The sequence below is a fragment of the Homo sapiens genome, chromosome 9 (assembly GCF_000001405.40).
Source record: "Homo sapiens chromosome 9, GRCh38.p14 Primary Assembly".
Lineage (NCBI taxonomy): Eukaryota > Metazoa > Chordata > Mammalia > Primates > Hominidae > Homo > Homo sapiens.
Genome location: NC_000009.12, coordinates 89,090 through 114,034, shown reverse-complemented (window position 1 = coordinate 114,034; position 24,945 = coordinate 89,090). Strand labels below are relative to the sequence as shown.

At 44.2% G+C, this 24,945-nt stretch overlaps 1 long non-coding RNA gene across 2 annotated transcripts, besides 3 other annotated features; it reads left to right on the top strand.

The window, feature by feature from the left end:
* Positions 213-302: a silencer, noted in NCBI's record as "silent region_19719". NCBI's record gives its function as "represses an Ori minimal core promoter by ATAC-STARR-seq in GM12878 lymphoblastoid cells {active_cell/tissue: GM12878}" and the evidence as "EXISTENCE:reporter gene assay evidence [ECO:0000049][PMID:35858748]".
* LINC01388 (long intergenic non-protein coding RNA 1388) lies at positions 240-13,036 on the top strand. Of its 2 annotated transcripts, NR_187612.1 has the most exons (8): positions 240-341; positions 968-1,076; positions 2,378-2,477; positions 3,154-3,242; positions 4,566-4,719; positions 10,241-10,346; positions 11,185-11,295; positions 12,731-13,036. It is a non-coding gene; the product is annotated as a long intergenic non-protein coding RNA 1388 (long non-coding RNA). The 2 variants fall into 2 exon arrangements; NR_187611.1 differs by lacking the exon at positions 10,241-10,346.
* Positions 15,319-15,519: a silencer, noted in NCBI's record as "peak7198 fragment used in MPRA reporter construct". NCBI's record gives its function as "represses an SCP1 promoter by STARR-seq MPRAs in K562 erythroleukemia cells {active_cell/tissue: K562}" and the evidence as "EXISTENCE:reporter gene assay evidence [ECO:0000049][PMID:32103011]".
* Positions 18,712-19,006: a silencer, noted in NCBI's record as "tiled region #4499; HepG2 Repressive non-DNase unmatched - State 24:Quies". NCBI's record gives its function as "represses a minimal TATA promoter and a strong SV40 promoter by Sharpr-MPRA in HepG2 cells {active_cell/tissue: HepG2}" and the evidence as "EXISTENCE:reporter gene assay evidence [ECO:0000049][PMID:27701403]".

Below are 24,945 nucleotides of genomic sequence, written 5' to 3'. Positions count from 1 at the left end.
CTTTCGGAACCGCTGACGCCACTCGCCGCCTTTCCCGCCTGGGCCTCTCGCGGGTCGCAGGGGTGGAAGCCCGACCTGGGCCAGGGCCCGGATTTCTTCCTCCCGGCCTCTGCGCCGCCGCCCCCGGTGCCAGGACGCGCTTTGCTCTCGCCGAGACCCAGACGCGCCGAAAGCCTCGCGCGGGCAGTTCCCCGCCCCACGCCCCGGGCTGCGCGTTCTCCCGCGAAGCCTCTGCCGAGTGCGCGCGACGGCGCCGCCGGACTCCCCCGGACCGCGCTCCCGCGCACGCCTGACCGGAGCACCCCGCTTCACGGGGGCGTTCTGCGCGTCCTTCCTCCCCGGTGCGATTTCCGTTCTTTTTCCTCTCGCGGTCCCCAGGAGCCCAGGCACCCCTCGACGCCGCTGCCGGCGGAACCGGGAACCCTCCCCGGGGCTCCCTGCGGGCCCGAAGCCGCCTTCCCGAGGCGGCGGAGTTGGGCAGCTCCGGGCCCCGCGCCGCCCCGCGCCGCCCCGCGGAGCCGGAGTTTCTCTCCGGAGTCTGGACACAGCTCTCCGCTTCGTCGCCGCGCACTGGACCCCGGTAGCGTGGAGCCTGCCCGGGAAGCTGGGCTGCGCCGGCCTGGGGCGAAGGTCCAAGGGGCGCGGGGGCCGGGACGCGGGGCTGTGGCGACGACCGGCCCTCTGCGAACGCTCAGGCCGGCGGGTCCGGGGCCACAGGCTGGGAGTGGAGCTGGCGGCCACTGGGGAGTAGAGAGGACGCCCAGGAACAGGTGCACCAGGGTCCCGGCGGCTGGGCCGAGGGTCGCAAGCAGAGGGGACCGGCGGCTGCCAGCAAGTCCCAAGCAGATGCCTCCGGCGGGGCAGCCGCATTTTACAGCGCCCATTCCGCGTACATCGAGTATCCAAAACGAGTAAAATCGGTTTATACGTTGGAATGTAGCTTATGATTCCAAAATCTCATCTCCAGGCTGCCTAGATCACACGGCCCCGTTTCATTCATTTTTACTGAATAACGGTCGTTGGACAATTTAGAGAAGCAGCAGAAACCACGAGAAAAACAGTGGAGTCAAACGGCGGTAAGGACCGACAAGGCTGGCGGGGACATTGAGCAAACGGCGGCTTCTGAGTTGGCACCTGTCCTTCACCACGTTGTGTGGGAAGTGTGGGGAGTCGGGATTCCCACTCCTCCCCAGCCTTCCGGAAAAATGCTCGGAAATTTCCTTCCACATTGACACCTGATTACAGTCTAAATAGTAACCTTATTCTGATTGTTAATGTAACCCTCTCGTAATCTCTACAAAAATACTTTAGTTTTTCTAGCTGTGTTTTCATGTAATCACTGAAATTATTTTTAATTGGTTTTAAGCATTCATTGATTCCATTTACACCACCTGCAAAAAAGTTACATAGGTGATCGCTAACAATACTAGAATTCGCCCCATCCAAAGGAAACATTAGAGTAGAAAAAGAAAAAGGATTTGAGAATCCAGTAGGAAATTCAGTTAATCATTCCTTCCCTGTTACTCAACTACCTTAACATTGTCAGGTTTACCTGAACATAAACTTCATTTTCTTAATTGTTCTTAGAACGAAGGGATATGTTTATTGAAATCAGTAATTAAGAATATTTTGGGACAGTTATGATTTACTTAGCCAGTGAAGCAGTTTCTATTCCCAAATCCAGGCAAAGAGAACAATAAGATTAAACGTAACCTAAGAGATTTCCTTTTTGTCAAATAATGTGATTTTGCTATGTATAGAGGAGATGTCTATATGTAAGGGCATATTTATGACCAGTAGTTCCTAAAATTAAGGGGACTATTATTGTGTTACTCAAGGTATCAGTTGTATAGGATACATTATGTCATATTTCAAACAATGTTTATAAAGAGATTAGTATAATTAACCTGTGTGTACTTCTCCTCTGGGCCAACCTTGTGTCTTCTTTATCTGCTGACAGTCCTCTCCCCACTGAATTATTTTGAATCAAATCCCAGATAGTCTATCATTGTATTGTATTTTTGAATATTTCTCTAAAAGATAATAATTCCATCAATGAGACTGGGTGCAGTGGCTCCTCCCTGTAATCCCAGCTCTTTGGGAGGCAGAGGTTGGAGGATCACTTTAGGCCAGGAGTTCAAGACCACCCTGAGCAACATAGCAAGACCCCATTTATAAAAAAGAAGATTCCCATCAACGTAACCACAATACCATTATCACACCTAAATAATCCATTAATAGCATCGGTTTATCCAGGCAATATTTAAATATCTTCAATTGTCTAAAAACTTTTTGTTTAGTTGGTCGGTTTGAATTAGAATGCTAATAAGGGTTACGTATTGTGTTTGGTTGATATGGGCTATTATATCTCTTTTAGATTTCCTCAATCCTCTTTTTTTGTTTCCCTTGCATTTTTTATGGGAGAAACTGAACGGTTTGTTCTGAAGAAGTTGACATTCTGGACTTTGTAGCTGCAGGTAATAGTTTTTTGGCAAGATATTCCCAGGGATAAGGTCGTTTATTCAGACTTTTGAATATTGGCAAATAATAATATTGTTTGTAGAGGGAGAAGGATTAGTCAAGATATTTTGAAGAATCAACTATTGAAAAAACAAATTTTTATCAGAGTAAGCATGGATCTGGTAAAGATTATGTGAAATTTTCCTAAATGCAAATACAATCTAAAATTGTAATGTCTTACAATTAAAAAATAGATTATTTTCCATATATTTATAGAAATATAAATGATCAATCAACTATTTCATTGACAATTTTAAATCTAGTTTTGTCTTGAGGAGAATAAAGTTTTTTATATCTTTAGTATTTTAGTTGAAGATCCAAAGACATTTTATGTTAAAACTTTAGGTTTTATATTGTTTTATGTTTTAAAACATAAAATCTAAAATGTGGTAATATCCATGAGGTGCAGAGAGAGTAATAGCACAAATTCTGTGTTCATGAAAATTCATTTTAGGATAACTTAATTAAAAGGACTCAGGATTTGAATGATATTAGATTAGACAGAAAAAAGTTCACTTGAGTGTAAGACATAAGTAATAAAAACCAAAGGTAGCTAACTTTTGTAGGCTTCTTCTTTCTTTAACGAGTATGCATATGAAATAAAATTTCCATGTCTATGTCCATTTTTCCAAGGTACATGGGCTTCTACAATTTCGTCTATTTCATCCTGCAGTTATTTTCACGGGTCTCTGTGTCCACCACTATCTGGAATCTCTGAGATGGTGAAAACGAAATCTTATTCTTCTTTATATTTCAAACAATTCCTAGCACATTATCAAAAATACCTGATAAAATTTATTGTGTCTGTAATACTGGTAAGCATGTAAAATGGTGGTAAATATATAGGCTTTAAGTTTAGATAGTTCTAAATATTATTAAAATTACCAAATTATTGTTTTTAAAAAGTATTAGTTTCCTAGGACAAATAGAGATTTTTAGATAAGGCTGGATTTGTAATACTTTAAGCAACAGGTCACAGTGCTTAAGTATTTAATGCCGATTTGGCAAGCAGCTGATGTTTTATATAATGCTGTCGGGTATTTTATATTTGCGTGTATTTTCTGATGCACTGGATCCAGCACTTCATGTCACGTCATATATCTGTTTATAATGTATACAAATGTATTTTCATATATATTTGATGTTTGATGGCTTTGAAACTTTAATCTTGAAATAGGTTTTAAATTTTTATTAAAACTATTTAAATAATTACTGTAAGGAAAGAGCTCTTATTAGTTGAAAGAAAATGTAGATTCATGTTTCCTTGGAGACTAGTCTAGTTTCCAAGGATAGACGGCAGTGAGGAGTCGGGTATCTAGATGGAATTTCTGTTGGTTTGGATTCCAGCTCTGCTGCTTACCAGCTTTGTGACCTCAGGCAAACAACTTAACCTCTCCAAGCCTCAATTTCCCCATCTATATAATGGTGATATTTATAAGTTTCACCTTATAGGGCCACGGTGGGGATTCCATGAAATAGTGTATGTGAAGTGCTTAGCACAGTGCCTGGCACATACTCAATGCTCTATGCATGTCAGCTAGTACTTAATGATGCTAATAAACATGTTATGTCCCTAAGCACGGGTGGGATCTTGCCTGACGTCCTTCTCTCTGCGTCCTGGTCAGTCTTCACATGGTGGGCATCCTTTATTTCCGGTCACACACGGGTGGTACACAGAGCATGCTGTTTCTTTCGTGCCAGAAGGTTCCCGCTGCAGCTCTCCTGCTAGTTTAGCTTAGCCTTCTGGTTTGAGGGATGAGTCACATGTACCATCACTTCCCAGGACCAACAGGACCTTTCAGGAAAGCTATCCCCTGCTTACACAGAGAATTGCCCTTGCCTAACACTGAAGCCTGGCAGAGTAACATGAAATAACCACAGCAATTCTAAAATTAGAATTAGCACGCCTAGAATAACAGGTATAACCTTCTCTTGTACTTTATCACTTGCTTCATTTCTGCTCAGCCTAATTTTCACTTGATGTGTAGATTTATTTTTTGTTCACCCATCCAGAAAATGTTGACTGAGGAATTACTCTGTGTTAGGCGCTGTTGTAGGAGCAAGGTATACAATGATGATCAAGGCAGATGCAGCCCTTACCTTCAGGTCGTGGAGTCCGGATACAGACTGGAGGCAGAGGCAGCTGTAAGATGTGTGACAAATGCTGCGCTGGATCAGCCCATGGTATTAGGAGAGCAGGTAAGGAAGGGTGGGGACGGGAGCGGACAACCTGGAGGAAGAGGCAGCTAAGCAGAGTCCGGAAGGCTGAGGAGGAGTCAGCAGGTGAAAGAGAGGGAATCATGACATGCCATCTCAACTGTAGGGCACGGCTAGCTGGCTGACTTAGCTGCTGTAACACCGGATTTTTGCAAGACTCCCTGAGTATTTCTCGTGGACTTGCGAACAAATCTGAGCAAGAAAACCACGTAATTTCTTTTATGCCCTGCCCAAGAAAGCCACCTGGAGGGGCAAGGCGACCTTAGCAGAAAGAAGCTGGAGGTGGGGGGAGAGCAGGGTGATGTTACTCTCCGTATGGTGGGGGGTGGACACCTCCCTGTCACATGGCTCGTAATATCCAGCGGGGGAGAGGGGGTTGACTTTCCCCTACGTTATTGGTAATATCACCTCCCTCTCTCCCGCTAAATATTAAGTACAATATCACAGGTGGGGCGTACACCCCCGGCGATGTTTGAAGTAACATCAACTTCTCCCCCTCTGGATGTTAGAAACAATATCACAGGGGGGTGAACACCCCCCCTGCGATCCTGGGAGTGACATCATCCTCTTTCCCCCGGATATTAGGAACAATATCACAGAAGGTGTTTACAACTTTTGCAATGTTGGGAGTAATATCATCCTCTCTCACCCTGGATATTCAGAACAACATCACATGGGAATTGTACCCTTCTGTTTATTGAGAGTAATATCATCCTCTCCCTTTCTGTATATTAGAAACAATATCACAGAGGGCTGTGTACACCCCCAGGAATGCTTTGAGTAATATTATCCTCTCTCTGCCTGGATATTTGGAACAATATGACAGGAGTTGTGTACACCCACTGTGATATTCGGTTTAATATCAACCTCTATCCCCTGGATATTGGGAGTAATATCTATCTTTAGCCCCTGGATACTAGGGACAATATCACAGGAGCGGTGTATACACACGGCGCTATTGGGAGTAATATCATTTTCTCCACCGCTTGATATTAGGGACAATATAACAGTGGGGACGTGCACCCCCTGGGATATTGGGAGTAATATTAATCTCTTCCCCTGTGGATGTTAGGAACAATATCACAGAAGGGGTGTATACCCCCAGCGATATTGGGAGTAAGATCATCCTCTCCCAACTTGGATATTAGGAACAATATCACAGGGGAAGTGTATAACCCCTGCGATATTGTGAGTAATATCATCCTCTCCCAAAAGGGAGATTAGGAACAATATCACAGGAAAGGTGTACACCTCTTCTGATATTTGGGGTAATATCATCTCCTCCCCTCATTGATATTAGGAACGATATCACAAGGTGCGTACAGCCCCTGCGATATTGGGAGTAATATTATTCTCTCTTCCCCTGGATATTAGAAATAATATCACAGGCGGAGTGTACAGCCAACCCCCTGCGATATTGGGGGTAATATCATCCTCTTTTAACCTGGATATTAGGAACAATATCACAGGGGGCTTGTACACTTCTTTTGATACTGGGAGTAATATCATCCTCTCCACAAGTAAATAGTAGGAAAAATATCAAAGAAGGTGTGTACACCGCTTGTGATATTGGGAGTAATATCATCCTACCTCACCTGGATATTAGAAAAAATATCGGGGGGCGTTTACACCACCTGCGATATTGGGAGTAATATGATTTTCTACCCCAGTGGATATTTAGAACAATATCACAGGGGCAGTGTACACCCTCTGAGACATTGCGAGTAATATCGTTCTCACCCCGCCGCCCCCACCCCAGATGTTAGGAACAATATAACAGGCAGATTATACACCTGCCGCAACATTGAAAGTAATATCATCCTTTTCCCCCTGGATATTAGGAACAATATCTTATGGGGGGTTTACAGCCCATTCCATTTTGGGAGTAATAGCAACTTCTTCATTGCTGGAAATAAGAAACAATATAGCAGTTCTGGTGTACACACCCTGTGATATGGGCAGTAATATCATAGACTCTCCCCCGGTGTATTAGGAACCATATCAAAAAGGGGTGTATGCCCACAGCGATTTTGGGATTAATATCATACTCTTCCCCCTGGATATTAGGAACCATATCAAAGAAGGAGTGTCTACCCCTTGCGATAGTGACAGTAATATCATCCTCTCCCTCCCTGGATATTAAGAACAATAAAACAGAATTGGTGTACACCCACTACGATCATGGGAGTAATGTCATCCTCTAACCCCTGGATATTAAAAACAATATCACAGAGGAGGTGTACACCCCTCGCGATATGGCCAGTAATATCATCGTCTCCTCCACTGCGTATTAGGAACAATATCAAAGGGGTGTGTACACCTCCTGCGCTATTGGGAGTGATGTCATTCTCTTTTCCCCTGAATATGAGGAATAATATCACTGATGGGGTGTACAACTCCTACGATATAGGCAGTAATATCATCCTCTCCCAACCTGGATATTAGGAACAAAATAACAGGACATGTACACCCCCTGCGATACTGGGAATAATATCATCCTCTCTCCCACTTAATATTGGAAACCGTATCCCAGGAAGAGTGTAAACCCTCTGAGATATTGAGAGTAACATCATCCACTCCCTACCTAAATATTAAAAACAATGTCACGGGAGGGGTGTACACCCCTACAATATTGGGAGTAATATCATCCTCTCCCTCCCTAGATATTAGAAACAATATAAAAGGGGTCGCGTACACCCCCTGTGATACTGGGAGTAATATCATTCTAATCCCCCCTGGATATTAGGAAGAATATTATACAGGGGATGTACACCCCTTGACATATTGTGAGTCATATCATTTCTCTTCCCTTGGACATTAGGGACAACATCACGGGGCGGGGGTGTCCCCTGTTATATTGAAATTATTATCATCCTCTCCCAAACTGAATATTAAAAACAACGTCACGGGGCTGCTGTGACCCCAGTAATATGGACAGTACTATCATTGTCTCCCTCTCTAAATATTAAGAACAGTATCACAAGAGGGGTGTACACCCCCTGCGATATGGCCAGTAATATCATCGTCTCTACCTTTGGATACTAGGAACAACATCACAGAGGGTGTGTACACCCCCTGCGATATTGGGCGTAATGTTAGCCTCTCTTCCCCTGGATATGAGGAACAACATCCCTGGTCGGGGGAGGTGGAGTACATTAAGAACAATATCTGAAGGAGGTGGGTGTTCACCCCCTGAGATATTGCGTGTAGTATCATCCTCTCTTTCCTAGGATATTAAGAACAATATCACAGGAGGGGTGTACAGCCCCTGCGATATTGGGAACAATATCACCCTATCCCCCTCTCGATATAAGGAACAATATCCCGGGGTGGGTGTACACCCCCTGCGATATTGGGGGTAATATCTTCCCCTCCCCCGCTGGCTATTAGGGACAGTGTCACAGAAGGGTGTCCACCCCCTGCTGTATTGGGAGTGAGATCTTCCTCTCCGTCCCTGGATATTAGGAACAATATCCCTAGGGAGTGTACACCTCCTGCAATAGTGAGACTAACATCATCCTCTCGCCCCCTGGATATTAGGATCCATATCTCAGGGGTGGTGTACATCCCCTGCGAAACTGGAAGAAATATCATCCTCTCCACCTTTGGACGTTAGGGACAGTATCACGGGGGAGGTCTACGCCCCCTGCGACATTGGGAGTCATATCATCCGCTCCCACCCAGGACATTAGGAACAAGATGACTGAACGGAGGTACACCCGCAGCGATATCTTCAATCATGTCATCCTCTACGCCCTGGCAATTAGGAGAAACATCATAGAGGGGTGTACACTTTCAGCGACATCGGGAGTAATATCCTCTCCCCCACAGATATCGGGAACAGTTATATTAATTATTAATAGTAATAAATATATTAATAATTAATAGTAATCATCGATATTAATAATTGCAATAGAGATAGTAAAAGTTAATACGGATTAAAAATATTAACAATTACTATTAATAATAACAATATCACTATTAATAATAAAATAATGATATTATTAATCAATGTTACATAAATCAGTCATAAGTGATGTTGGTAATAAAACAATAATTAATATTAAGATTAATAACTAATATTATTGAAAAATGACATTAATACAGATAATTTTAATCATGCATAATCGTACATTTAAAATAATCATTAATGATTAATAACGTTATACTATTAATTAATATTACCATTGATAATTATTAAGACTGAAGTTTAACAATTAATAATATTATTAAGATTGATGCTTAATAATTAATCGTATTATTTCTCCTAATACCGCAGGGGGTGTACACCTACCTGTGATATTGTTCCTAATATCCAGGGATGGAGAGCATGATATTAGTTTTAATATCTCAGTAGGTGTACACTCACCCTGTGACACTGATCCTAATAGCCAGGGAGTAGAGTATGACATGACTCCCAACATAGCAATGAATGTACAGCCACCCGGTGATATTGCTCCTAATATTCATGGAAGAAGCGTAGGATATTACTTCCAAAATCGCAGGGAGTGTACACCTCTTCTGTGATATTGTTCCTGGTATCCCGAGGGGGAGAGGATGATAATAATCCCAGTATCGCAGGCTGTGATCACCCACCCTGTGATATTGTTATTAACATCCTGAAAGGGAGAGGATGATATTACTCCCCGTAATAGATAGATATTACTCCCCATAACAGAGCAGGAGGTGTACACCCACCCTGTGATATTGTTCCTAATATTCAGAGGCCGAGAGGTCGATATTACTCCCAATATCGCAGAAAGTGTACCCCCCCAGGGATATTGTTCTCATGATCCTGGAGGGAAGAGGATGATGTCACTTTAAATATCACAGAAGGTGTGCACGCCCCCACTGATATCGGTTCTAATTTCCACGTGGGAGAGGAGGAGGTGACGCCCAATCACACCTGCAGTAGAAACACAGCTGTGATGCTGTTGTTAATATTCAGGGAGGAAGACGATGATATTACTCCCAAAACAGACGGCTGTACACCCTCTGCACACCGAGGGTGTACCCCCATCTGTGAAATAGTTTATAATTTCCAGAGGGGGAGATGATATCACTCCGAATACCGTAAACAGGCTGTGAGTCCACCGCGGATCCTAAAAACCAGGGAGGGAAGAGGGGCTGGCACGCACTCCCCGCATCAAGGGGGGTGTCTCACCCCCTTGCGATGGGGGTCCTAAGAGCCAGGGGGGAAGAGGGGCTGGCTCTCTTTGTGGATGATTCTTTTTCCATTCTCAGGCAGTTTTCTTTTTTCTTTCTTTTTTTTTTTGGAGACTGAGTCTTGCTCTGTTGCCCATGCTTTGCTGGATCTCGGGTGACTGCAACCACTGCCTCCCAGGTTCAAGAGATTCTCCTGCCTCAGCCTCCTGAGTAGCTGGGACTCTAGAGGCGTGTGTCACCACACCCAGCTAAGTTTTGTATTTTTAGTAGAGATGGGGTTTCACCATGTTTGCCAGGATGGTCTCTATCTCCTGACCTTGTGATCCACCCACCTCAGCCTCCCAAAGTGCTGGGATTGCAGGTGCGAGCCACCGGGTCCAGCCTCTCAGGCGATTTTCATACCTGCATACTCTGATCACTACGCTGTTAAACAGTCAAGGAGGGTAAGTATTATCTTCAGATTTCCAGAGCTCTGTCTCTGTACAGCCCTCTCCTCCTCAATATTCTGCCCTATGAATTCTAGCCACATTGGCCTTCCCAGACTCACAGTTCTGTCTTCTCAACTCAGGAAGATCTCTGAGCTCCATCTGCATTCTTTCTTCCTGTGCTGTGGCTTGGAAAGTTTTCTAAGGTGTTTGGGAGGTCAATTGTGGGGCTAGCCTCATTTGTTTCTCATCTCTTGAGGATCACTGCCCTTTGATGCTTGATTCCAGTGATTGATTCCCTTTGTTGCTTGAGGGCCATAGTTTCATATATTTTGTCCAGTATTTTTGTTGTTTTAGGTCAGAAAGTAATTTTGGTCTCTGTTACTCCATCTTGGCCAGAAGTGTAAGACCTAAGCATTTACACATCAAAATACTGCACACATAATTTTAGTTTAAGCTACTTTTAAAAAAATCTGCTTCATTTTCCATTAAGCATTCTATTTAGGGTATTACATTGTTTTTTTTGAAATTCTGTTATTGGCAGTTTCTATTGCCTATCAATCCCATTTAAAGATAGTGCATAGGGTATTCTAAAATAGCTGTTAAGCAAAGAGAAAATTGGGCCTGATAGGGTGAGAATCACAGCTCTAATACCTAGAGTGACCTTATAATGTATTGTCCAAAGGAGATATTTTTGACAGTGAAAGAGGGTGTTGTTAGTAATTATATCAGGACCATGGCCTAAACCAGGACTATCCCAGGCAGCCTGGGACATATTTGTACCCCATCTCTATTTAATGCCTTTATACAATTCTTAATTCTACCAGCCTTTATTGAGCCTGCTTTCTTTGTCTAGCTGAGTGCCACGTGCTGACATCACTAAGATCAATACAGCAAACTCTGAAAGATGGACGGAGAGACAGGAGATGGTCCTTTATAATGCAGTGTGATCTGTGCTGCAATAGAGGTGAGCACAAGCGCCTTACGAAGGCTCAGTGAAGAGCGTGCTTGACTGCAGGGGAGGGTACTTAGGTCAGAAAAGATGAGTCGAAGTATGTTCACAGGGAGCATGGGATGAGAGGTGGTGGGAAAGGTATTCCAGACAGTGTGTGTCAAGGCCAAGAGCCAGGGGAACACAGGTAGGGCTTTTTTTTTTTCTTCTAAGATGGAAGAGTGTTCTGATCGGCTGGAAAACAACGCACATGGGAAGCTGTACAGAAATGAGTGGGGAAAGGTAATACTTAACAGCAACAGCAGTTAATATTTAGTGCCCATTTACGACATGCTGGACACAGTTCCGGGTACTCTGAACATATTCGCTCATTTAATCTTTACAACAACTCTATGAGGTAGGTACTATGATTATCCCCATTTTCAGGTGAGGAATCTGAGGCACAGAGAGAGTAAGTATGTTGCCCAGGGCCACGCACCAAGTATGTGGTAGGTCCTGGAGTTGAATGCAGAGCCCCTCCACTCTAAACTCCTGAAAGCCAGATGCTACAAGGCGTTGTTATTCCAAGTGGAGGAATGCTAAGGGCATCATCCTGCAGGTGACCAGGAAACCCTGAAGCATTCGAAGCAGGGGAATGGCTTAAAACAAGGTGGTATAAGAAAGTGCTCCCAGAGCAGCATGAAAGTCTGGTGTAGTGGAGGTCTCCGCTAGCCACAAGAGGTGGTAAGAGGCTGAGCTGAAGCAGCTGCAGCAGGGATGCAGAGGATACATTCCCCAAACCCTTATAGGCAGAGTCCTTTGGCTTCAGTGACCACGGCCAAGGGTGCAGAGGAGAAGCCCAAGAAGATGCCAGGTGTCTGGCTTATGCCCCTGTGTGAACGTGAAGCCTCTCATTGACATGCAGGTTACAGGAGAAAAAGCAGGTTTATTTGGGAAGGAGGCTTCTAGACCATGACTTCCATTTTAGCCATGTAGTTTTTGAAGTGCTTGTACAAGTTCTAGGTGGAAATGTCCAGGAGGCAGTGGGGAACTCAAAGTAGATCTCAGGAGAGAGGCTTAGGCCAGAGGGCTTGGGGAATCATCAGCATGGGGGTGGGAGGAGAGCTGGTATTTGGATGAGATTGCAGTGGAGCATGAACAGAGTGGGAAAAGGTGGTGATGAACCCAGGGACTCCAGTATGCGGTAGCTGGCTGTGAGATTAGGAAGCAATGAAGGAGGCCGAGAAGGATGTGGGGGAGAAGCATCAATAAGGAATAAATGAGTTGCACGTGCTCCAGAGAGGCCAAATAAAGACTGGATTTGGCTCTCGCAGGTCATACACGAAAGAATCTTGGAACCAAAAGGAAAACGGTGGTGGTTTAAAGGGTATATTCAGTTTCTAGGTCTGCTGTCACAAAATACCAGAAACTGAGTGTCTTGTTAAAACAACAGAAATTTTTTCTCTCACAGTTTTGGAAGCTAGAAGTTCAAAACGAGGTGTTGGCAGCACCATGCTCTCTCTGAAGATGCTAGGAAGAATCTGCTCCATGCCTTTCCATTCGCTTCTGGGGTTTCCTGCAAGCCCTGACATTCCTTGGCTTGTAGATACACCACCCCAGTTTCCGCCCCCATCATCACATGGCCTCCTCTCTGTGTGTGCCTCTGCGTTCCCTCTATTCTTCTTCTAAGGACACCGACACCAGTCATAGTGGATTAAGGGTCCACTCCTAACCAATTACATCTGCAACAACCCTATTTCCAAATAAAGTCACATTCTAAGATTCCTAGGGAGAACAGGAATTTTTGGGGGTGTGTGGATACTGTTCAACCTGGGACATGGAGTAAATAAATGGCAAGGAAGATTACAGATGACTTTAAGCTAAAGAGGGAGATAGGGTTAAATGTAGGACTTTTTTTTTTTCCAGGACGGGAGAGGTTTAAACATGTTACTACATTGAATAAATGAAATAACCATGGACATGGAGTGGCTAAAGATTCTGAACTAAGTGCAAGTAATTGATAGCGCAAGCTCCCAAGGGGCTGGGGCCTGGAGCGCAGATGGATGGATCCACTGTGGGCAGAACTGGGGCGTGGGAGGGGTGTGCCGATGCAGATGTGTTTGAGTGTGGGGGGCCAGAAGCTGATTGGGGCGAAGCGTGACAGTGCAGCTCCAAGCACGCTGGAGGTGTTCGCCAAGCAACTCAAGAGCAGATGGCAGAACGAGCAGCTGAAATAACAGCTTGTGAAATCAACCCTACTTTGTGGGGAGAGGATTGGTTAAGGATTCTAGCCATGAGAACCAAGAAGAGGAGGATAATCTGTTCATGCCTATTATGGGGCTTTGGGGGAGCAGTTTCAGCCTCAACCTGGAGAATGTTTTAGAAGGCCAGAGAAAGGAACCCTGCAAATCATGTGAGCTGGCCCCTCACTTTGAGATGAAGTGTCCATACAGCAGTAACGCCACCCTCTGTAGTGGTTCTAGAGTGTGGCAATCTGGAGGGGTCATTATGGAAAAGGGCTGAAGCATAAGAATGTAGGCCCAATACTGAGATAGAAAGAGGATTCTCTGAGATGACTTAGGCAGGGTGATGGTGGTGGAGGTGGGTGTAAGAAGCCCTCTGCTGCCTCGGTCCGAGCATGGAGTTCAATTGGTCAAGAGCAGAGCCAATCACCATTTAGGCCCCAGTCCGAGCATGGAATTCAATTGGTCAAGAGCAGAGCCAATCACCATTTAGGCCCCAGTCCGAGCATGGAGTTCAATTGGTCAAGAGCAGAGCCAATCACCATTTAGGCCCCCTTGTTAGCCTGAATTTATTCCTCGGGTATGGAGAAGACTCCTCAAGATGCATTCAGAGTGTAAGCTCCCTCTTCCGCAGCAGAGGACTGCCCTGCAGGTTTGCAGTTCTGTCATTTGGAAACTCCCTGATGTGTCCCTTGGCTCTTCCCATTCTTTTGCTTCAACACATTTTAAGACCAGGCACCTAAACTGCAGAAACAGCATGAAAAACAAGTAGGTTTCAGGAAAAATTATCCCAAGTGGAGTCTCTACTGTGCTCTGTTTATCAGATGTAAAGCTTAAAACAGTGTAAGAGTTTTTACAGAGTGTATTCATATCACACCAGTTTTGGGTCCATAGACAGGGGCTTTTTCTAGATCAAACCGTTCAATTGTCCTATTGATCCTGGCCTAAAATCTGAGTGGATAAAAAATATTTCAGGAGAGATGAGATTCTAACCCTCAATGGCAAAAAGCAGGGCTGAGCCCTAAGCCCACGTTTTTACACATATTTTACAATTGAATGTGTCGCACTACCGCTAGAACACTAGTTCTCAACCAGGGGCGATTTTGCTTTCCAGGGGACATTGGCAATGTCTGGAGACATTTTTTTTTCCATTTTCAAAAATTGTGGCAAAGCACATAACATAAAATTAGCCATCTGAACCATTTTCATGTGTATAGTTCAGTGGCACTAAGCACCTTCACACTGATGTGCAACCATCACCACCATCCATCCATAGAACTCTTTTCATTTTGCAAAACTGTAACTCTGTACACATTAAACACTAACTCGCCATTTCCCTCTTCTCCCAGCCCCTGACAACCATCATTTGACTTTCTGTCTCCACGATTTTGACTACTCTAGGTACCTCAAATAAGTGGAATCATACTGTTGAGGGATTTTTGATGGTCACAACTTGGGATGGGGTGCTGCTGGTGTCTAGTGGGTAAAGGCTACGGAGGCCACTTAACATCCTGCAATGCACAGGATGGTCCCCACAAGAAAGCAATAACTAACCCCAAACGTCAATCCTACCAAAATTGAGAAACTCTGAGCTAGAAAAATCCCATGAGTAATCTTACACCATGGAGTATCAGTCAATAGAGACTAGTTATGTCTCCAAATTTCTGTGGTTTAAAACAACTTATATTTTTGCTCTAACATGGAGCATCCTTAATCAGCAATCCAGGCTGGTGGGAGTTCCATCCTGACCTGGGCTTCTACGATGACTGAAGCAGAAAAAGGATCAGTGATAAATTGTGCACTGGCTTTTAAAGCTCCCATTGGAAGTGTCCAGGTCATTTTCGGTCACACTTCCTTGGCCAGATCAAATCACAGGTCCACATCTCACTTCAAAGGGAGGAAGGAAGTGCATTTTTACTCTGAGGAAATACAACCACCACACCTAGCAATTAAAAATAAACCTCATACTGTTATCACCTGCTTGAAGTGCTGCTATCAGAGCAAGCCTACCAGTAGGAGTGGTGCAGGCTGCAGGTTTTTGGTTTTGTTTTGTTTTGTTTTTGGAGACTGCACTCCAGCCTTAGTCTGTCATGCAGGCTGGAGTACAGTGGTGTCATCACAGCTTATTGCAGCCTTGACCTCCCCACACAAGCGATCCTCCCACTTCAGCCTCCTGAATAGTTGAGACTACAGGCCCGTGCCACCACGCCCAGTTAATTTTTTGTATTTTTTTGTAGAGATGGGGTTTCACTATGTTGCCTAGACTGGTCTTGAACTCCTGGATGCAAGTGATCCACTTGCCTCGGCCTCCCAAAGTGCTGGGATTACAGGCGTGAGCTGCCATGCCTGGCCTAGAAGCTCATTCTTATTGGCCAGAAGCTAGAGAGTGATCTAAAGACTCCAAGCCAGGCCAGACCGGTTTCAAGCCTTAGGGCTAGTGTATTAATGAATGAGGTTCGAGCTTCTATGGCATGGGAACTGAGGGGCACCACAACACTCAGCTTACTCAAGGGACCAATTCTAGCAGCCTTCGAAAGAGTCTGAAAAAGGTAGCCTTGAATTAGTTTCCGGGTGAAAAATATTTGTCCCAATTGAAGCAAGTACTACTAGTGACTGCCTCTGCTATGGAAGCAGGGGTTACCTGCTTACCTGTGAGCAATAGGATTTCTTGGGGTTGATTTTGCAGGAACATGTACCTCCATGTGGCCAAACAAGCAGGCTTGCTTAGATTTGCACCACAGGATGTTAAAGTGGAAAGGAATCTTAAACATCTAATTGAGGGATGGCAAATTGGGTTCATTGTAAGGGTCACCTCTGACCCTTTGGTTGTGGCTGCTAGGAGCACTGGGTGGGAAGAATTCCGTAGTTTTTTCCAGAGAGAGACAGCCACGCTTCATTAGAGAGTCTAGTGGGCATGGAAGGGAGGGGGTGAGTTGTTGTGCCTGTAACAGGATTTTGCCATCCCTAGTTCTAATCCAACACTTTGAGAGCTGAGGCTCAGCTCCACGAGTGATTTATAGAGGTCCTTCCTTTATTGCTTTTATGTCACCACATCTAGAATTAGGTCTTCTGCTTCCAAGAAAGTCAGCTGCCTCATTACCATGTAGCATAGTTAGATTCCCCATTTCACCTAGAAAATAAATATTTATTGAGGGCTGGCCAAGTGCGGTGGCTCACGCCTGTAATCCCCGCATTTTGGGAGGCCAAGGTGGACGGATCATTTGAGGTCAGGAGTTCGAGACCAGCCTGGCCAACATGGTGAAACCCTGTTTCTACTAAAAATACAAAAATTAGCCAGAAATCCCTTGAACCCAGGAGACGGAGGGTGCAGCGAGCCAAGATCGCACCACTGCACTCCAGCCTGGGCGGAAGAGAGAGATTCCGTCTCAAAAAATAAAATAAATAAATAAATAAATTCACAAAAATATTTATTGAGGGCCCACTTGTTTTTTAGCACTGAACTAGGAGCCGAACATAGAGCAGTGAATGAATAGGCCAAGTCCCTGCTCTTCTTGGCCTTACATTTTGGGGGAGGAGACAGATTAGTAATTATTAGGAGAATTATTAGTAATTATTAGGAGAAAGCAGGAAATTTCTGCTTTCATGGGTGGGATACCAGAAGGTAAATCATTGTGAAAGGATATTTTGGGACAAGTTTCTATAGCATAGATGTATTTTAGAATGATTGGGGCTGTGTCTTGTGAGCACGGGATCTCTGAGGCAGTCAAAGGGCACCAGGAACCTCATCTCTTAAGACGTGCATGCACCGTAGGCTGCCGTTTGTGTCCCTCACTCTGGCCAAGCTCCCTTCTTCATCATGGCCTTTGCACTTGCTGTTCTCTGTCTGGGGAAGAATGCTCTTTCCCTAGAGATCCAAATGGCTCACTCCTTCAGTGTCTTCAAATCTCTGTCAAATATCACCTAAACAGAGAGGCTTTCCCTGGCCTCTAGAGGACAAAGTAGCACATTTTCTCACCCACTTACCCTGCTCATCCTTCTTTATAGCACCCCTCACCACCTGCTGTATTATTTGTTTATCATTCAGCTTTCTCTCTAAAATGGAAGATCTATGAGAACAAGAACCTGTCTGCTCATTGAGGTGTTCCTCTAGAAAAATGTCTGGCCCATAGCAGGTGCTTAATCAACAATTTGTGAAGGAAAAGTGGAGGAAAAAAAGATAGGAGAAAGCAAACTCATGAAGAAGAGTGCTTGGGTGGGGTGGGAGGAGAAGAGGGCAATGGATCCAGGCCCTACAGGGATTCACTGTTCAAGCAGAAAGTCCAGGGAAAGCCACATGGCCTCCTTCAGTCGGATGAGCTGGAGCTGCTGACATCCCCTGCAACCTGGGAGCCAGTGCATGCAATGCTCCAGCTGGGTCTAAGGACAGAAGGAGGCTAATGAACAGCCACCTTCGGAGCAACAGGGTCACTTCAGTCCTCCCTGTTTACTTCCAAGCTGCTGAGAGTCTTATGCACATTTCCTCTTCTCACTTGCCTCTTCACATCCCTAGCTGCCGCAGGAATTTATGGCTTAATTAAAGTGGGAAGCAGGGTTTATACATGTTTATATAAAGTTATATTTTCCTCCACCTCTTTGTCGGAAGAAAACTCAAATGTTAAAATTCTTAGGAGCCCAGGAGTTCGAGACTAGCCTGGGAAACATTGCAACCCCATCTCTACAAAGAATAAAAAAATTAGCTGGGAGTGGTGGTCCCAGCTACTTGGGAGGCTGAGGCAGGAGAATCATTTGAGCGCAGGAGGTTGAGGCTGCAGTGAGCCATGTTAGTGCCATTGCACTCCAGCCTGGGTGACAGAGTGAGATCTTGTTTAAAAATAAAGGAAGAAAGAAACACCTAGAAAGGACACTAGAGATAAATCTAGTTCATGCTCCTTGTTTTCTATGGGAGGACACTGAGGTCCAGGGTCACACAACTCACAAATGGCCAGCCGACGGAAACCCTGTAAGAGGCAGAGTGTGAGGAAAAGGCAGGCACTTGTGATAACCCCACTGGTGGGCAGGAGCTAAGCCTCCATAGGTGGGGAAGGGAATTAACCCCAGGACACAGGCTCCAGTCTGGGGGCTTGAGATGCTCAGGGGACACCAGTTAGAACTAAGGCAGGAGGCCAAGGCAGAAGCTGTTCTCCTCTGCCTGGATGTATGAGGGCAGCAGAGGAAGAAGTGTTGGCAAAGCAGCCCAGAAACACATGAAGAGGAGGAGTGAATGTAAGTAGAGCATGCCAGAGATGGCAGATCAAGGCAGGGAGTTAAATTGAAGGAGGAGGCGGCCGCGGCCAAGGGTGCACAGTGATTCAAAGTTACAGTTGGTTATGGGCTGAGGAAACAGCTTTCTGTTTCACTGCTGTGAGAGGCAACCAGGTTGCAAGGAAAGGAGGGGAAGAGAGAGGCGTGAATGTAGACAGAACCTTCCAGATGTTGGCTGAAGATAGAAAGGAGAGGGAGGAGGGGTTCTGGAGGGAGAAAGAAGTTAAAGAGTATTTTTTTATATGGGGAGATATGGGAGTTTTGGGTTTTATTTTTGGCTTGTGAGAATGAGCTAATCTTGTATAAAGGGATTAAAGATTTTTTAAAAAATTTATCTCTGAGCCTTAGGTCTTTCAACTTTAAAACGAAGATAAAAAATCTATGTCTTTGGCTTATGAGGATTAAAATGTGAAAACACATTACTCCAGTGCCTGGCACATTATAAACACATAATACATGGTAGCTATTTTAAATATTTTATTATAAACTTATGTAGTGCTCATCTGGAGGCCTAGGAAAGTGTTATTGAAAGTATTTTAAATCTTAGTATCTTATATTTATCATTTATAGGGTATAGTAGATTAAGAAATACTTCACGTATTTTGAAAGATTGGGCTGGAAACATACCCGAAGAAGCATTCTTTTTATCTCTCATGTACATGTGGACATTATACATTTTAATTAAGTGTTATTATATGAGTCAAATTCCCTCCTCATGGGTGTTAGTAGGAGTTGACCTCGAAGGAGGGAGGATTTGGTTGTGGATTTATGACTCACATCTGCGAAAGGAGTAAGGGCGAATAAGAACAGGAAACTCTGATAAGCAATTTTACTATGTTTTCATTTTTATCTGAAACTCTGTAATCCAAGACTGGGGTAACTTTTCATATTTTTTAAAAATACTTTTTTATAGGCTGGAGTGATCTTGTGTAAGCAAGGATAAATCATAGACGTTAGAGAGACGTTTGTCTCTGTGCTGTTTGGTGCAAATTCCATGAAAAAGAGCCAAGGCAGGGGGTGGGGGTGGTTGTCAGGAAACCAAGGGATGAGATGTTTTTCTTTTTCAAAGATGACACCTGTGATGCCAACTAGTGAGCATGGGCGAACAGAGCGCAAAGGAATTCGTTACAGTCCTAAAGAGGGATAAATGCATCTGGTGTCAGATTAACTCCAGCGAACAGCCTCACTCAGTCCTAAATACTGACTCAAAAGCATGTTGATTTCAGTGTGAGAAACAGATGTGTAAAGGTGAGTTCTCATGAGGTCAAATATAAAGCAACATGCCTAGGTCTTAAAATCATGATGTTGAGTGCAACTATAAGAAAAAAATGGGCTTACTGATATAATGTTATTATGTAATTTAAAGCCACATTTGCATATCAAACAACCTTGCCTATTTCTACAGAGATAGTTGTTTTTTCTTTTCTTTTTTTTCTTGTGACAGGGTCTCACTCTGTTGTCCAGCCTGGAGTGCAGTGGCGCCATCTCAGCTTACTGCAGTCTTGACCTCCCAGGCCCAAGTGATCCTCCCACCTCAGCCTCCCGAGTAGCTAGGATTACAGGCACAGGCCACCATACCTGGCTAAATTTTTTTGTTTTTTATTTTTAGTAAAGATGAAATCTTACTATGTTGCCCAGGCTGATCTCAAACTCCTGGGCTCAAGTGATAGACCCACCTCCATCTCCCAAAGTGCTGAGATTACAGCCACCGCGCCCCTGGCCAAGATATAAAGTTTAAGGACACATATCAAACATACTAGAGAGGTTGCTGATGGGATAGGGAGGATGAGCGTGAGCATCACAGACGAGGGAAAAAGCAAAATGAGACAGTGGCTTTGCCCAGATGGACAATGAAAATGTGCTATGAGTTAAAGAGCATGATTTTTAAAAGGAGAGAAATCTTTTAGTCATTGGTCTTCTCTTTGTTCTGGCTTAATGAATCTGCTGCAAAGGCAAATAGTTTTCAGGCAAACTTGCTGTCCTAGTGGTAACACTGGCTTCAAGGACTCCTCGAGCGGTTTGGGATGGCTTCCTGAGGGTGACAAAGAGGAGCTGTGTTTTCAGCCAAATATCCGAACCAGGACCACTGCCTGCCGCCACGCCCCAGCGGGCACCCCTGCTTTGTGCTTATCTGTGGTGGCTCCGCTCGCCCACCTGGGTGGGAACCCCGAGAATGACTCCAGACTTTTCCAGGGACTGCATGCCAGGGTATTTTTACAATTTATGTGTAGACTTTGTTCGGGTGGAAAAGTTATTTTATGAAGACGAAACAAGCAATTGGGGTACCTACCTTATGGCATTTTTTACCTTGAGAGTGTTAAAAATACCTCTCCCCTAACCAAAACCCTGACAAATAGAGCCAGGGAAGGCCATGCAAAAAAGGATTCTTGGGCTTGTATGCCTGATAACAAAAAATTATCACAGAAGACTGCAAAAAACACAATCTTGCACAAAGCCCATTGCAACTTTGCACACAACAATGCTTCTGAAGGATATTTGCCCAACAACTGCCTGTCCAGCCTGGGCCTGGCATCACCTTTGTTATTGATCTTTGTAGCCAAGGATAATCATTTCCAAATGATCATATAATCTTCCTCATTTTTTCTTTTGTCTTCCTTTACCTCCGTGAATATGCATATAGTTTACTCTGGCTTGCCTATTTCTATTGCAAGGCTCTGTTTCCAAACGAATATCTTTTTCTTGTGGAGAGCCTCTCTCTGTTTGTTATTTAGGTTGACAAGAGAAATGTGAACATTTGAGAGCTCAGGTAAAAGGCCTTAGTCTATAGTGAAACTTTTTTGCACCCTTAGATGCTTACTTCCACTACAACTTGCAGGTGGGCCTTGAAAAGTTCTTGGAATAAGTTTGAGCTTTGATCTTGTCCGGTTCATTTAGCATAGATTCTCAAAATGTGGTCCCTGGACCCACAGCATTAGCATCGCCTGGAGATTGTTAGAAATGCAAATCATCGGGCCTCATTCCAGACCCTCAGCTGGAAACTCTAGGGGCATGGCCAGACCCTCTGTAGCTGAACAAGCCATCCAGGTGGTTTTGATGCAGCTAAAGTTCTGGAACAACTAATGTAGCCCCATTTGGAAAACTTGGCTGTACAGGCCTCCCTAGCTGGTAAGCTGCTAGCATTTTTTGTTTGTTTGTTTGTTTGTTTGTTTGTTTTGATACAGGGTCTTGCTCTGTTGACCAGACCGTGACCTCCTGGGTTCAAGCGAGGACTCAGCCTCCTGAGTAGCCGGGACTACAGGTATGTGCCACCACCATGCCCAACTACTTTTTGTATTTTTTTTTGTAGGGATGGGGTTTTAGCCCGGGCTGGTCTCAAACTCCTGGACTCAAGCAATCTGCCCACTTTGGCCTCACGAAGTGCTGGGATTATAAGCATGAGCCACTGTGCCCGGCCCTGCCAGCTTTGTATAAGCTGAGGAGTTCTAAAAAATACCTAGACTCAGGGCAAACCCCAGACACTTAAATCAGATTCTCTGGGAGGTGAATCCCAGGCACTGGTATTTTTAAAGTCTCTACAGATGGTTCTAATGTGCTGCTAAGTTAGAGAACTGCTGATCTAGACCAGGCCTTTTCAAACTTAATGTGCACGTGAATTACCTGGACCTTGTTAAAATGCAGATTCAGTCTGCATAGGCCTGGGGTGGAGCCTGAGCTTCTGCATTTTTAACAAGTCTCTAGAGGATGCTGCTGCATCTGGGCTGCTAACTACACTTGGAGATAGGAGGTTCTGGAGAGCAGTAGTCCTGACTTCCGAGCCAAGGTTTGCCTTTATGTGGCTGGCAACTTGCTTGGACTCCTACCTCAATTCTTTGGGCCCAAGGTTTGTCCTGCCTCAGAAGGATGTCAAGAAAATTGAGTGAGTAATGCAGAATTGTTTCTTAAAGTGTGTGCAGATGCTCCATGAATTTAGAGAGTATGTGGATGCACATTACTAAATTTTAATAGTTGTGAACATGTTGTTATGAGTACTTAGAACAAGTAATAATGGCTTTTGATGTATAGTAGTAAGAAAGCTTCCTTTTAAAAGGCATGTATTTAAGTTTCAAAAGTGGGGCTATTTAAAAATATATGAAATAAATAATAGTAGAGGTAATTGACAGAGCAAAATTATGAAGGCAGGATGAGAATGACTCAAGTTTGGGAAATGCTGAGAAAGCAGATGCCCAAGGGCTATGAAAACTTAAAAAATAGGTAGCACTTGATTTTGATTGGCTGAATGAGATGATGTGTTTGATCACTTATGGGGTTGGCATTTGGCAACATGCACTGGGCGGCTGGGATCACTGTTTATTAAAAAATATTTGAGTCTCTACTTTGCACTAGATACTCTTTTAGTCTCTTGGAAAAGGGATTGGGGCAGGCAGGATAAAAACAAATCATTTATGCCCACAAGAAAATTGCAGGAAGATAAGAGTCAAGAAATAAACTCTGTGCTTCTAATTTAATATTTTATTATAGATTATGAGAAAAAAGGTTTGCTCACTATCAGCTAGGAAAGCTGTCTTAGCACAACCATTCATTCTTGCACAAATCAAAATCAAGATGAGCCAGAAGGCTCCATTCTGACAGCTTCTAATGGAGAAGCTACATTTACTGGACATGGGGAAAGTTGCTGGGCTCTAAGGACTGTGCTCATTTCTTGAACTAGATAAATGGTCTTGGTGTAGCATAATACCAAAACTTCTTGTCGCAGCCCGTAAGGACAGAACTCAATCAGCCTGAAAAGGAAGTCAGTGACTCCGACTCAACACAGGAATGTTCTGTGATTCCTAAAGAAGGATGTAGGAGTGTGGCACAATTCAACCACAGTCTGTGGCCCTGTGCCTCTGCCTTGACATGAGTGGGATTTCCCAGCTGGTCATTTTCTTCTTATCTAAGACATTGGGAACAAATTACTTGACTTCCTCTGGGCTTCAGTACTCCCACTCATCAAATTAGAGGACTGGGCAGTCGCTAGGCTCTATTTAGGCATCATATTTTAGTTTCTGTGATTTTAAATTTGAGAAGGGGTGTCTAAGGGAGAATACATAGGGGAGGGGGAAAGGCTTATTAAAAGTGTAGTTAGACACTGAATTTTTAAGAATTGCATTTTGTAATAATACCTTTACCTAATCAGGACTGACAATCTTACCTGATGATAGCACCTGGAGGAATGGCTGCATTCAAAAATAAAAATGAAATAAAACAAGACCTTATCTGAACTTAGCAATAATGCTGATTCCTCTTTTTGATTTGAGGAGGTTATAGCTGTTGTAAATGCTTGAATTGGGTCTGCCCAGGCAAAACGGAGTCAAGAGTCCATGTCTGATGAATTTTAACAATGTAGACAATAAAAAGGGGTGCTTAAACTGCCCCTCTTTTACCAAAACACATTTACAAATGAAAGAACAACACTTCCATTTTTTAAAAACATTTTTTGAGATGAAGTCTTGCTTTGTCACCCAGAGTGGAGTGCAGTGGTGTGATCTTGGCTCACTGCAAACTTTGCCTCCCGGGTTCAAGTGATTCTCCTGCCTCATCCTCCCGAGTAGCTGGGACTACAGGCGCCCACCACCATTCCTAGCTAATTTTTGTATTTTTAGTAGAGACAGGGTTTCACCATGTTGGGCAGGCTGGTCTCGAACTCCTGACCCCAGGTGATCCGCCGACCTCGGCCTCTGAAAGTGCTGGGATTACAGGCGTGAGCCAATACACGTGGCCAAAAAATTTCCATTTTTAATTGCAGGGTCTGGGGAATTAAAACGCATCCATAATTTCTTGCATCTCTCCGCTCGGGCTTGCATGAATGCAGAGGGATGGGGAGGACTTCTTGAGGCAAGCATCCCCCTCTTGTCGCCTGCCATCTGGAGAGAGAGGGCTGTGATTTATCTCACTTTAATCAGGAAGGACCCAATGGGTGGATGGAGAGGTCTGATGGCTTTGTTGCTCCATGTGGGAAAGAAACGGACAGAGTGAATTTGTGTATGATCCCTAAGGAGAAAGCGTCTTTGTGCTCTATTTCTTTTTGACCTGGAGCCCCTGAAAGCAAGCTAGTTACAAGTTGAAATAGGCCGTTTCTAAAGTGTGATTTTGTTTGTGTATGAGCCTTGATTACAAAGGGGAAAAAAACCCGCTTAATTTACATACACCAGATGTAGTGCAGGATCCCCTGGGCTGTCTT